The sequence below is a fragment of the Homo sapiens genome, chromosome 2 (assembly GCF_000001405.40).
Source record: "Homo sapiens chromosome 2, GRCh38.p14 Primary Assembly".
NCBI lineage: Eukaryota > Metazoa > Chordata > Mammalia > Primates > Hominidae > Homo > Homo sapiens.
In genome coordinates, this window is record NC_000002.12 from 161295596 (window position 1) to 161310277 (window position 14682).

Below are 14682 nucleotides of genomic sequence, written 5' to 3' on the forward strand. Positions count from 1 at the left end.
TCAGAATTACCACTTTCACTCCTTTTGATTCAACAGCTGAGATTTTAAAAGCTACCATTTATCTGTAAAAAATTATTGTCATTTTGTGAATAAATACCAAATTGTCTCTATGAATAGGTTCATTTTCACTCAATTGTTAGGAAATGACTGTTCTACAATAGCATCTTAAAGCATTAAGATTATTGCTTAATTTATTAAATTCACAATAATTACATAAAGAAATCACAAAATGCTCAGAAAACTAATACAAAGATTAGAAAAGGTTTATAGTGAACTAGTCTACAAATTAAATAAGTTCATTATAAAAATAGTCATACTCTAAAAATATGACTCTTTATAGACTCAGTATCATCCAACAAAGATGATCTTGTTGAAACTACCTCATTAGGGGCTAAGAAGCTTTTGAAGTTTAACTAGAGCAATATTCTCTGACACCTAACAAATTTCTGTTTAATCTTCATGTTTGTAAGTGGATCAAGTTTATTTTATAAAAAGTTTAGAAACTTTATGTAAGTCCTAACCAATAAGTCACAAATATTTTGCTCTTAAAATGTGCTTAAAAGTATACTTAAACCAGGTGTGGTGGCTCACACCTGTAATCCCAGCACTTTGGGAGTCTGAGGTGGGTGGATCACCTGAGGTCAGGAGTTCGAGGCCAGCCTGGGTAACATGGTGAAACGCTGTTTCTACTAAAAATAGAAAAAATTAGCCGGGCATGGTGGCACGCACCTGTAATCCCAGCTACACAGGAGGCTGAGGCAGGAGAATTGCTTGAACCCGGGAGGCAGAGGTTGCAGTGAGCCGAGATCGCGCCACTGTACTCCAGCTTGGGCAACAAGAGTGAAACTCCATCTCAAAAAAAAATACACTTTGTTTTTTTTTTTTTTTTGAGATGGAGTCTCGCTCTGTCACCCAGGCTGGAGTACAGTGGTGCGATCTTGGTTCACTGCAACCTCTGCCTCCTGGGTTCGAGGAATTCTCCTGCCTCAGCCTACCGAGTAGCTGGGATTACAGGCATGTACCACCAGGCTCAGCTAATTTTTGTATTTTTTTTTTTTAGTAAAGATGAGGCTTCACCATGTTGGCCAGGCTGGTCTCAAACTCCTGATCTCAAATGATCCACCCCCCTCGGCCCTCCCAAAGTGCTGGGATTACAGGCGTGAGCCACTGCGCCCGGCCTCACTTAAAGTATTTTTAAGAGTAAAAATCCAGTTTGAGGATTTTATTTATTTATTTTTTGTTTTTTGGCTTTAAAGTATTTATTTTTAGTTTTGTAAATTATTTTTTTTTCTAACTTTTATTTTAGGTTCAAGGTGTACATGTGCAGATTTGTTACATGGGTAAATTGGGTGTTGAGAGAATTTGGTGTACTGATAATTTTGTCACCCAGATTATCAGCATAATACCCAATAGGTAGTTTTTCAATCTCACCCTCCTTCCATCTTCAACACTCAAATTGGCCCCAGTTTGAGGATTTCATGGAATTAAGAAAAATATTTTTTACTCCAATTCTTAATGAGTGCAAAATTTTATGCAAACAGTAATTGAGCATGTTGAAGCAAAACCAAATGACAATACCATACTTATCTGAATCCTGGAATAAAAACCAGTTTGTTAAGTCATTCAGTAGTGATTTGATGTAGTTGTCTTAAGCAATAAGGCACATAAACAGTGTATCCAAGTGATCACTGATGTTAGTTCAAAAAAAGGTCTCCACGATGTATATGTGCCACATTTTCTTTATCCAGTCTTATCATTGATGGGCATTTGGATTGGTTCCAAGTCTTTGCTATTGTGACTAGTGCTGCAATAAACATACATGTGCATGTGTCTTTATAGTAGAATGATTTATAATCCTTTGGGTATATACCCAGTAATGGGATTGCTGGGTCAAATGGTATTTCTGGTTCTAGATCCATGAGGAATCGCCACACTGTCTTCCACAATGATTGAACTAATTTACACTCCCACCAACAGTGTAAAACTGTTCCTATTTCTCCACATCTTCTCCAGAACCTGTTGTTTCCTGACTTTTTAATGATTGCCATTCTAACTGGCATGAGATGGTATCTCATTGTGGTTTTGATTTGCATTTCTCTAATGACCAGTGATGATGTATAACTATGTAACAAACCTGCATGTTCAGCACATATATCCCAGAACTGAAAGTAAAATTTAAAAAAATATATATATATTTTTAAAAAAGGTCTCATGGTGGTGCGCTTCTGTAATCCCAGCTACTTGGGAGGCTGAGGCAGGAGGGTCACTTGAGACCAAGAGTTTAAGGCCAGAAGGGTAATATAACGAGTCCACCATCTCAAAATTTAAAAAAAAAGAAAAGTCATAGTCCTGAGATACTGGGCTGTAAGGTCTCTCCCCTCTTCTACTTTCTTTGGCTGCCCTGCATCCTAATAATTTTAGGGGAGGTACTTTAGCTTCTTTCATCTATACAACTTCTTGAGTAATAAATGGAAGATAGGACATTATTATTAAAAAATTGGTTACCTCCTCATTCATCTTTTTTCAAAGCTCTTAAGAACGAAAACACTTTTTTTTTTTTTTTTTTTTTTTGGTGACAGGTCTCACTCTGTCACTCAGGCTGGAGTGCAATGGCATAATCATGGCTCACTGAAGCCTCAATCTTCCAGGCTCAAGCGATCCTCCCACTTCAGCCTCCCAAGTAGCTGGGACTACAGGCATGCACCACCATGCCTGGCTAATTACTGCATTTTTGTGTAGAGACAGGGTTTCACCATGTTGCCCAGGCTGGTCTCAACTCCTGAGCTCAAGCGATTGGCCCACCTGGGTCTCTCAAAGTGCTGGGATTAGAAGCATGTGCCACTGTGCCCAGCCCTGAAATACTATATTTTATCCTTATAGTTGATAAAGCCTTCTTTATTTATAATTAATAAAGCTCTTCATAATTATCATTCTGTGTCTTCTATGGAATAGAGGACATTCAGTATTTTTCTTGAAATAATTTAGCATTCATTTGAATTCATCCCTTAGTCTTATTTTCTAGGTTAAAAACCCCAAATTATTTTCATCTTTATTCATGTGTTCTATTATTAAAATAATTATTATTGTGGCTTTTTCTTTGTGATAAAGTGTGGTGATAAAAGTTAGATATAAAATTCTAAAAGAAGCCAGTGTGGTGGCTCGTGCCTGTAGTCTCAGCAATTTGGGATGCTGAAGTGGGAGGACCACTTCAGCCTGGGAGATCAAGGCTGCAGCGAGTCGTGATCACCCACTGCACTCCAGCCTGGACGACAGAGTGAAACCCTCTTTCAAAAATTTTAAAAAGAAAAAAAAAGAAATCATATCACAGGTCTGATATGTTCTTTTTGTATTTTTCTATTATACATCAAAATAAGTATATTCCCATTAATACAGAAAATGTTCATGAATCATCTGAAATTATCTTATGTACCGCCTGTGGTACTCATGACAGACAATAAGAAATTCACTTTATTTTGGTTTTGTGTCTCAATCACTTTAGACAATGAGTAGATACATCCAAAATAATGGACAGATCAGACTCATATGGGCATCTTTATTACACTACACAGTTCCACACTCCATCCCCCAAATATGAGTTTCCAGGATTGGTGGAAAGTTTGTTTGGAAAATTTCCTTAGTTATTTGCCAATATAATGAACAGACCTGTGACTTCTCAAGACTCACTCTGAGTGTAGCATCCCTGGAATAGCATTCCAATCTCATTGGCCTGCAAAGCCCATGTCTGTCTGGCTCAGAAAGGAGGTGATCATATGCAATCTTAAGTGTCAAACACAATCTTTCTTTTTTTTTTGAGACAAGGTCTTACTTTGTCACTCAGGCTGGAGTACAGTGACACAATGATGGCTCACTACAGCTTCAAACTCCCTGGGCTCAGATGATCCTCCTGCCTCAGCCCCCCAAGTAGCTGGGACTACAGGCATGTGCCCCACACCCGGCTAATTTTTGGGTTTCTTTTTCTTATTTTTTGTTTTTGTAGAGAGAGGGTTTCATCATGTTGCCTGGGCTAGCCTAGAACTCCTGGGCTCAAGCGATCTGCCTGCCTTGGTCTCCTTTGCTGATTACAGGCGTGAGCCACCATGCCTGGCAACACAATCTTAAGTGTCACTGAAACTTAATATTTCACTTGTGTTCACTTTAGAAAAAAATATGTAACACACAAGGAAATGATATTAGTTGCATATAAATTGCTTCCCTCCCCCAAATCCCACATACTGGTTACTATGAATTTTGAGTTCTGCTACTAACTACATTACCTTTCCCATGTAACATATCCTCATTGAGTTTCATTTTACTAAGCGTGAATGAAGAGTTTGAAAGCATGCAAAAAAGGATAGCTAACTCTAGAGGAAAAAATGTGCCCAAGTCATGAATTGGCATATCAGAAAAGAAAAAATATAAATGGCCAACAAATATGAAACACATTCAATCTTATTAGTAATTAGAAATATGCAAATTAAAACAATATATCACTCTATTTTCATTAGATTATCAAAAATAAACAAGTCTAACAACACTGTTAGTGATGGCACAAAGTAATCAGATATTTTGAACATCACATTGGAATACAATTTGGTACTATCTAGTAAAATTGACATGTCTGTCTTAGAATCTAGCCATTTTACTTCTAGGTATATATTCTTGAGAATCTCTTGATCTGACACACCAGGGGACACACAGAATATTCATAGCAGCATTGTTCATAATAGCAAAAAATTGGAAACAACCCAAATGTCCATCAACTGGAGAATAGATAAATAGTGACAGCCATGTAACAATGAAAAGTCTGGAGAAGAGAGATGCACAGACAATAGAAATCTGCAAGTCTTCAGCACGTAGATGGTAATTCAGACTTTAAGCCTGAAAGAAATAATCCATGGAGCCCTGTAGCGTGAGAAGAGAAATGGGTGAAGAGTGACAGAGGAAGAGGGGCTGAGATATTCTTCTCAAAAAAGTAGAGTAGAGGAAATAAAGGCACATAAAATCTTTGTTTTAATAATAATCTGATACCAGTTTCCTTTTTCTATTGTAGATTGAATGCTATTTTCTGTGTCTTCCTTAATGTTTTTTTCATTCAACATCTTTTTGTAAAGAGGAAAATTGTTTTGTAATATAGTCACCCTCTTTTTTTTTTTTCTTAATAATATACTGGGCCAGGTGCGGTAGCTCATGCCTGCAATCCTAGCCTTTTGGGCGGCTGAGGCGAGTGGATCACTTGAGGTCAGGAGCTCAAGACCAGCCTGGCCAATATGGTGAAACCCCATCTTTACTAAAAATACAATACTTAGCCAGGTGTGGTGGTGTGCGCCAGTAATCCCAGCTACTTGGGAGGCTGAGGCACAAGAATCACTTGAACCCAGGAGGCAGAGGTTGCAGTGAGCCAAGATGGTGCCACTGCACTCTAGCCTGGGCAACAGAGTGAGATTCTGTCTCAAAAACACAACAAATAAAGAATATACTGGTTTCTGAACTTTAAGGCAAACCAATTTGTGATCATTTGATTTACTCTATATATTTTATTCACTTTACTAGAATATAGTAAATTAAATTCTAGAGCCTTCTTGAAAACAGAGGTTATGCTTCTTGCCCAGTAGTAACTTGAATATATACTCTGGATTCTGATTTACCCACTATATGGTGTTCTTTCCTTGTAGATGCTAAGGCAATTCTTCATTGAATTATTGGATCAAACAGTTGAAGAAAACTAAGGAAACTACTTGAAGAGATTACATTTTATTGACACCAGGGACAGATTACATCACCAAAAAAAAAAAAAAAATTTTATGGCAATATCAGTAGTGCCTTTTAAATTAAATGACAAATTGGAAGTGTTTAACAACATATGGTTGCTTTTCCTTGACATATATGATTAAGAATATATCTCTTTATCAAAATGTAAAATACCATCTGGCAGAAGTAACAATTATTCTATTGGCCTTATACATTAACTTAATTCACTGTACTTTAATATGTAAATATTTTCCTATTTTTTCTTTTTCTTTTGCTGGATCTATATTTATTTATAATACTCAAAAACTATGTAACTCAAAAAACATAATTAAATATGACAAAGCTGATTTTAATTTTTGAACAGAAAACAATGCATTTCTTAAACATTCAGTTTCTTAAACATTTCTTAAAAATTCAAATGGCAACAGCCCTTTTTGATATTCATAATTGTAAATCTGGGTAATCTGAAAATTTACTCTTACAATTTCTTACTAGACATTTAGTCATACTTTGTATATGAAAGGAGCTGTCCTTAGAGCTCTTTATAAATAGGAAGAAATATTTACAGTAAGGTTGATGGATTTTAAGGTTTGTAACATGTATGTAGTAACGCCACTAGTCAGTCCTTCATTTAATAAACTTGCCAGATTCAGTGGATACCAAATGAGCAGGAAGGCTTCTCTTTGACACAACACAACGTACATTACATATTTAATAATGTGAACTCTTGTCATTTTATGATTTTAGAAAACTAAATATTTTAGAAAATTAAATATTTCACAATTCTGTGCACTGAGGTGGTTTCCAAAGCTATCTTGGGTCTAACCCAAACAATAATTGCTTTAAGCATTAGCATGTGGGCTGGGAGCTGTGGCTCACACCTGTAATCCCAGCACTTTGGGAGGCTGAAGTGGGAGGGTCACTTGAGCCCAGAGTTCGAAACCAGCCTGGGCAACATGGCAAAACCCTGTCTCTACTAGAAATATAAAAAAATTAGCTGGCATGGTGGTGCACACCTCTAATTTCTGCTACGTGGTAGGCTGAGGCACGAGAATCGCTTGAACTGGGGAGACAGAGGTTGCAGTGAGTCAAGATCGTGCTACTGCACCCTAGCCTGGGTGACGGTGTGAGACTGTCTCAAGAAAAAAAAAAGCATTGGCATGTAATATTCGTATCAGTTATGTAGCTATATGAATTGCATAAATTTGCTTGTTTTTTTGTTTTTAAGGAATTGATTATTTCAAGAGGAGTTATATCTGGATTTAAAATGTTCCTGATCTTTTAAAGTATTCTTAGCAAGCAAAGTATCTGGACAAGTACCTTCAATATCCAACATTAATTGTAAATATCTACTATGACCAGGCCATGCTCCCCGCTGTTAAGAATTTTAAAGTTTAGATGGTAAGGCAGACAAGTAAATCAAGGATTACAGAGTAGGGCTATAGGGCAGGATTATATGAGAGGGTATTGACTGATCAACACCCTCCAGCAAAATGTGGGAAAGAGTGTGGTGATAGCAGATGGGAGAAAAGACATTCAGAGTGGAGAAACAGTAGGTCTGAAGATTCTAAGGCATATGACAGCATGATTTAATAGCAAATACTTTGGTATGGCTAAAAGAATGGGGGAAAATAACAACTTTGAGGTTTTTTCTTTTAAATCAACTTTATGGAGGCATAAATAATCAACCATAAATGCACCCATTTTTAGTGTACAATTTGGTGAGTTTTGACAAACTATCACCACGATAAAAATATAGAACATTTTTAACAAACCAAAAAGTTCCCTCATGCCCCTGTGCAGTTAATCCTCCCACCTAACTCTACTATGAACCACAAAGACAACAACTGATTTGCTTTCTGTCACTGCCTATTTGACTTGATTTGTTTACAGTCCTTTTAAGGGGTATTGTACAGTATGCACTTTCACATCTTACTTTTCCGCAGCGTGATGTTTTTGAAATTCATCCTTGTTCTTGCATATATTAGTAGTTTCCTTTTTATTGTTAATATTGCATTGTAAAGACATACCAGACGTTATTTATTCACCAGCTGGCAAACATTTAGATTGTGTCCAGTTTAGGGCTTTTATTAGTAAAGTTGCTATGAACTGTTGCGGTCAAGAGTCTTGGTGTGGGCACATGTTTGTATTTATTTTTGGTAAATATAAAGTGGGACTGCTAGGTCAAATGATAATTGCATTTTTATTTTTTAAATATCAGGACAATTTCTAAAGTGGTTGTGCTATTTTAGTGACTATTTAGATCGTACTTTTTTTCATCCTTTTACTTTCAACCTGTGTCACTGAATCTAAAGTGTAACTCTGTGGATAGATATAGCTAGATATTTTTTTTTAAGTGTATTCTGTCAATCTCTACCTTTTAATTGGAGTTTTTATTCCATTTATATTTAATATACTGACTGATGTGAATCCTGAAAGAGCTAATCTTTCAAGATGGATCCTGAGTGGCTAACTGGTCCTAAATTCAAAATGGAGCCAAGCAGCCATTTGCTGACTGGAGGTCACACATGTACTCTGTATTCTGAAGAGAACCAACAAGCTTATGAGACTTTGGGTCATTCATGGCTGTCTGTTCCTGTTTACACTGCCTCAATCAACAACTGCTAGAAAGTCTCTTTTCACCACCTGGACCTAACTGATACACTGTGACCTGCATCAACCAATCAAAACTAAACAAGCTTTTATTCCTCATTTGCATAGCAAAGCAGAGGGGGAACCTGGGTGCGAACTTTCTCTAAAGAAGACAATCCTTTTTGTTTTCTTGAATAACACCTTTGTTTGGTACAAAAGACTACAAACTATTCACTGGAATAAAGTCTCTCTTTTTTTTTTTTTTTTGTGACAGGGTCTCACTGTGTCACCAAGGCTGGAGTGTAGTGGCATGATCGGGGCTCACTTCGGACTTGATTTCCTGGACTCAAGCGATCCTCCTACCTCAGCTGCCTAAGCAGTTGGGACTACAGGCATGTGCCACCACACCTGGCTAATTTTTTGTATTTTTTAGTGGAGATGGGGTTTTAGAATGTTGCCCAGGCTCGTCTCAAACTCCTGTACTCAAGCAATCTTCCAGCCTTGGCCTCTCAAAGTGCTGTGATTACAGGTGTGAGCCACTGCGCCCAGCCTCTTTCCTTTTTAAGGAAAATCCTTTGGATTGTTGACATCGACAAGGTAGAATTTACATTTGTCATTTTGCGATGTTTTCTTTATGTCCTGTGTCTTTTTTATTCCTCTATTTCTTAATTCCTGCTGCCTTTTGTTGTGTTAAATATATATTTTCAAGTATGCCATTTTAATTTCCTTGTCCTTTATTCATATATTTTAAAAGTATTTTCTTAGCAGTTGCTCTGGGGATTATAATTAACAAGTTATAACAATCTAGTTTGGATTAATAACAACTTTATTTCAATAGTACACAAAGACTTGCTACTATATGGCTTCGTTCCTCCATTATTCTTTCCCTCCTTCCTCTCCCTTCTGTTACTGTCATATTAATATCTTACAATAAGCCCATACAGACTTATAATTATTGCTTCACGCAATTGTCTTTTAAATAAAATAGAAAAATGAGTCACAAATAAAAAATTATACTTTTATATTTACTTATGTAGTTAGTTTTACAAGTGTTCTTTATTCCTTCATGTGGATTTGAATTACTGTCTAGTGTCAATTTAATTCTGAAGGACTCCCTTTAGTATTTCTTGCAAGGAAAATGTCCTAGTGACAAATTCTATCTTTGTATATACATACATTTTGGGAAAGTATTAATACCGCCTTCATTTTTGAAGGATAGTTTTGCTGGAGGTAAAATTCTTACTTGATGATCTTTTTCTTTCAGCATGTTGAGTATGTCATCCCCTGCCTTTTGGCTTTCATGGCATCAACTGTAAATCTTATGGAGGATTATGTGATGAGTGGCTTCTCTCTTTGTGGCTTTTCTTCTTGAAAGTGGCCACTTTCAAGAGTCTCTCTTTGCCCTTGACTTTTAATCGGTTAATTACAATGTGTTGAGGTGTGGATTTGTTTATGTCACTTGGCATTTGTTAAGCTTCTTGGATGTGTCGATAAATATTTCTCATTAAATTTAGGAAGTTTTTGGCCATTCTTTTATTCAAGTATTATGCCTGCCCTTTTCTTTTTCTCCTCTCCTTCTGAAACTCCCATTACGCGCACGTTGGTGTGCTTGATTGTGTCCCACAGGACTTTGAGGCCTGTTGATGTTTCTTCTTTCTCTTTTCAATCTGTTGCCCAGACTAGATCATCTCAACTGACCTATATTGAAGTTTGCTGATTTTTTTTTTCTCCCTGCTCAAATCTGGGGTTGAGCCCCTCTAGTAAACTTTTCACTTTATTATACCTTTTTGTTATTTTATTTTTTTTTAAAAATTTAAAATTTGTCTCCGTCATGGCATATTATACTTTTTAACTCCAGAATTATTTGGGTTTTAAAAAATGATTTGTCTTTATCATCTATTTGATGAAACATCTCATACTTTCCTCTAGTTCTTTAGACATGGTTTCCTTTAGCTTTGTAACATATTGAAAATATCTGATTTAAAGCCTTTTTATCTAGTAAGTCCAGCATGTAGGCTTCCTCGGGTGAGTTTCTATTGATTAATTTTTATCCTGTGTATGAGCCATACATTCTTGTTTCTTTGCATGTATCTTAACTATTTTGAAAACTGAACATTTTAAATAATATAATGTGCAACACTGGAAATCAGATTCTACCCGCTCCCCAAGCTTCACTGTTATTTCTGTTTGTTGTAGCAGTTGTTGATTTAGTGACTTTTCTGAACTCATTCTTTTTTTTTTTTTTTAGAGATAGGGTCTGAGTTGGTGACTCAAGGGATCCTCTGGCCTTAGTTTACCGAGTAGCTGGGACTACACGTGTGCCACCGCACCTAGCTTATGAATGAATTCTTTAAAGTCTGCATTGTTTATTGTGTGTGACCACTCAGGTTTCTGCTCAGTTAGCTTAGTGGTCAACTAATGATTAGAGAGACAGGTTTTCTTAAACACCTTCAACCAAAAAATCTCCCAGTCTTTCCTGAGGGGTTTAGTACTTACGTTGGGACAAGCCTTCAACAATCAGCCAAGCACTTTACATTAGGTTGGTACCAAAGTAATTTCGTTGAAATGACAAAACCGCAATTTTTTGCACCAACCAACCAAATAATTCTGCCTTAGCCTTCACTTCTTGCTTCTGTAGTGCCTCAAGGTCACCCAGAGGTTAGAGCTCAGGGCCTTCTCAGGCCTATCTTGAGTGTTCACATAACCCTAGACATATGCACACCCTAAGCACCTTCTACAGTCTCAGGAATATGTTAGCGTTTTTCAAAGCCCTATGGACATCTTATTCCCCAGCTAAATACTTTAGTATGGCTGGAGCAAAAGGTGCTCCAAACAAAGTTTAAGGGTTTTTTTTTTTTTTGACCTTTATAATGAATGTTATGGGGAGCCACTAGTGGAATTTTAAATAAAGAAGGAGCATGACTACATATAGCACAAAAATTTTTACCAGTGAGGTGGAGAATGGATTAAAAGGAATCAGACCGAAGGCGGAAAGATCAAAGAGCATTCTAAAAAAGTAGCCTGGGGAACATGGTGAAATCCTGTCTCTACTAAAAAAATAAAATAAATAAAAACATAAATAAAAATTAACTGGGCATGGTGGCAAGCGCCTGTAGCCCTAGCTACCTAGGAGGCTGAAGTGGGAGGGTTGCCTGAGCCCGGGGACGGGATGTTGCAGTGAGCCCAGATGGCGCCACTGCACTCCAGCCTGCGTGACAAAGCAAGACCCTAACTCAAAAATGCATTAATAAATAAATACATATAAAATAAAATAAAATAAAAAAGAAGTGAGGAAGGTCTGAGTTAAGGCCAAAGTGGGGAGTATTTAGAAGGGGAAGTGGTGGATTGGAAAAGCTGTTATGGAGATTACACATTTCATGGTTTCTACAGTGGGGAGAGATGAAAAAGAGGCAAGTGTTCATACTCTTAAGTTTCTGATTAGGAAAATTATTTGGAGGACGGGGCTACTCACCCCCTCCTCCCATAAAAAATGAATAGAGAGGCATAGGTTTGGGGGGGAAGCATAAAGATGTGGATCCAAATATTACCTATGAGTAAAATAATCTTTGTGTTTTTAAAGGTATTAATATCTTAAAGCAATTGTGCTACTCAAATCACAGTTTGGATCCAGGCGCTGTAATCTTTCCTCACCCTCTGTCCAGTAGATTCATCACCATTCTCGATTTAGGAATGCTTTAAAGATGCTTGTTATTTGGAACATATTTGAGAAAGTGACAGGAACGTGGCAAACAAGCTGCCTTAAACAGAGACTGTACCTAGACCTAGAGTGTAATATCAACTTGTCAAGTATATCTTCTGCAACTTTGCTTTTTGAAAGCCTAGCACAAAGTAGATCATGAGTAAAATGTGATTGCCGATAATTACATGGAGAAATGTGAATAAATGACTCTTTAAACCCTGTAAACTAAACTCGGCTTAAAATAGGTGGTTTGAACATTTGGGAAACCTTAGTTTTCCCTGAAATCCAATCCTTGCAAAGCAATAATGACAAGAGGTGGATAAAGCGGACTTACAGAAAAGGGCGTCTTACCGGTCCCCTCTAATCACACCATCCCCCCTCTTTTAAAAAAATTTTCTTCTCAGATAACCAAGTTAAATCTAGCTCAAATGAACCTTTTAGTTTTTGAGGAGGGCAATAATAGTAGTGAACACCAAAACGAAAGGGGATCTGGGCTTCAAAATACTAACAGTTCTATTTCCTAGCCAGTCGTCTCCCGGGCTGGATGTGCCGCCGTCCCAGATCTCAGCGGCGGCCGCAGAGCGCAGAGGTAGGGAGAGAAAAAGGAGGCGTCGGCGGGGCGCGAGCGACCAGGGCGCTAAGTGCCGCCTCACAGTCCTGCCAGAGACAGGAGACGCCGGGCCGCCCGCGCCGTCTGTCCCAAGAGCTCCTCCTGGACATCCGCTTGACTCTCCGTCGTCTCCAATTGGCCGTCGGGGAACGGAAGCCGAAGCAAACTAGTGAACCCGGAAGTGCTTCGCGGCGGAGGCCCGGGCAACTCTTTTGAATGGAATCGGGCTGATTCATCGCCGGTTTGCAGACAGAGCCGCGTCGGGTGTGCGCCGCTGCTGCTGTTGCCTCTGTCTTCGCGTCACCACAGAGGCAAGACAAGGGTCCATATCGCGGCATCCGGCTCCCGCCCGTCTTCAGGTAAGACCCAGAAGGCAGGCCTGGGAGGTCTGGGGAGGCAGCCGTGCTAGGCCGCCGCCAGCCCCGTGCTTTCCTGAGTCACGTTGCCCAGCTGAGTTGCCACAGGAGGCCTGGGCCGCGAGGGAGGAGCCCGGCCTCCTTCATTCTCTTCGCCTGCTCTCAGGGCTCTCTGGCAGGGTCAGGTCTGGATGTCGCCTCCTTTCTCCATTCTTTTCTGTTTGGCCGAATTCACATCATGGGAACCTCTTCCATCTATATAGAGAGAATCCTTGTTTATGGCCTGTTTGTCTGTGCTCTATCCATAGTTGTTAACCGGTCTGCTTTGAAGTTTTTCAAAGCAGACCGGGAAAACAAGGGAGAGAGAGTAGAATTAACTTTCCCATTGAATACGTTTGTTTTATCTCTTGTCCTTCCTGTAAGCCTTAACCCTTTTTCTGTTAGTGTTAGGTTTTCAGCTCCCTCCAAAAAGTAAACAAAAGTCCTGCAGATACACTGCTTTTGGACCTTGAATATCTTAAAAACAAAGTGTGCTACTATGGCTGTTAACTTACTTTCAATATCATACTAATTGAGTAATTGTTGGTAAATTGATTACATTTCTCGTTTTAAGTAAAGTAGAAATCTGCTACCGTATGTTACATCTTGCAACTTAATTTTCCTGGGGATGTAGCTCTGTGTCTGTCAAAAGAAAAAGAATGTAAACTTTTGAGTCTATAAACCTAGTGACTGAAGGAAAAATTCTCGAGAAAATAAATGGTAATATAAGTTGATAAAATATTATGGAAAGGCAGGGGAAAGGGTTTAAAAATGAGCATAAAATAGAGTTATAGTGTGAAAGTGATTTTGTTCCACTGGTCACAAGTGTTTTTTTAGTGCTTCTGACTTAATGTGTTTGAGAAAAGCAGCAAGACATGCACTGATACTGTAGAAATAACAAAAACATGAACACAGTTTTAGTGGAGATGATTAATATAATGGTGGCCTTCCTGTCACGTAAGGCTACCTACCAGCTGACTCATTTGAAGTTTAGAGGTTAAGATATATAGTGGTTCTGAATTAACTACAGTTAAGGTGTGTTTAGTGAAGTGCTATTTAGTGAAAAAGGCTAAATGTTGTCTTGAATTTGTCCCTAAATCTTGCCAAGGGAAGAAAGTTTTCAAGTGATGATCTTTTATTGATGCTTCACCTGTTGACTTTGGGAGTTTTTGGTTTTTTGTTTTTTTTTCAGCCTAAAGTGCTTGGTAAATAATACATTGCCATTTTAATTTAGGCCGGGTGCGGTGGCTCACACCTGTAATCCCAGCACTTTGGGAGGCTGAGGTGGGCAGATCATGAGATGATCCAGCCTGGCCAAGACTAGCCTGGCTAACATAGTGAAAACCCGTCTCTACTAAAAGTATAAAAAAATCAGCCGGGCATGGTGGCACGTGCCTGTATTCCCAGCTACCTCAGGAGGCTGGAGGTGGAACCTGGGAGGTGGAGGTTGCAGTGAGCCAAGATCGCGCAACTGCACTCCAGCTTGGGCAACAGAGTGAGACTTTGTCTCAAAAAAAAGAGAAAAAGCTGAATTTTAATCTGTTTGACATGGGTTCATCTTATTTTCATACTGGCCATGTAAACCATGTGCTTGTTAATATATAGTTTGTGAACCATATGTATGAAAGTCAATAAAT

The 14682-nt window shown here is 38.3% G+C and overlaps 1 protein-coding gene across 1 annotated transcript in view, besides 1 other annotated feature; it reads left to right on the forward strand.

The window, feature by feature from the left end:
* Positions 12698–13157: an enhancer, noted in NCBI's record as "active region_16712". NCBI's record gives its function as "activates an Ori minimal core promoter by ATAC-STARR-seq in GM12878 lymphoblastoid cells {active_cell/tissue: GM12878}" and the evidence as "EXISTENCE:reporter gene assay evidence [ECO:0000049][PMID:35858748]".
* PSMD14 (proteasome 26S subunit, non-ATPase 14) overlaps positions 12830–14682 on the forward strand; it is a 103293-nt gene continuing 101440 nt past the window's right edge. The window contains exon 1 of the mRNA NM_005805.6: positions 12830–13009. The gene's annotated coding sequence lies outside the window, so the exon portion shown is untranslated. The remainder of the gene's footprint in view (positions 13010–14682) is intronic.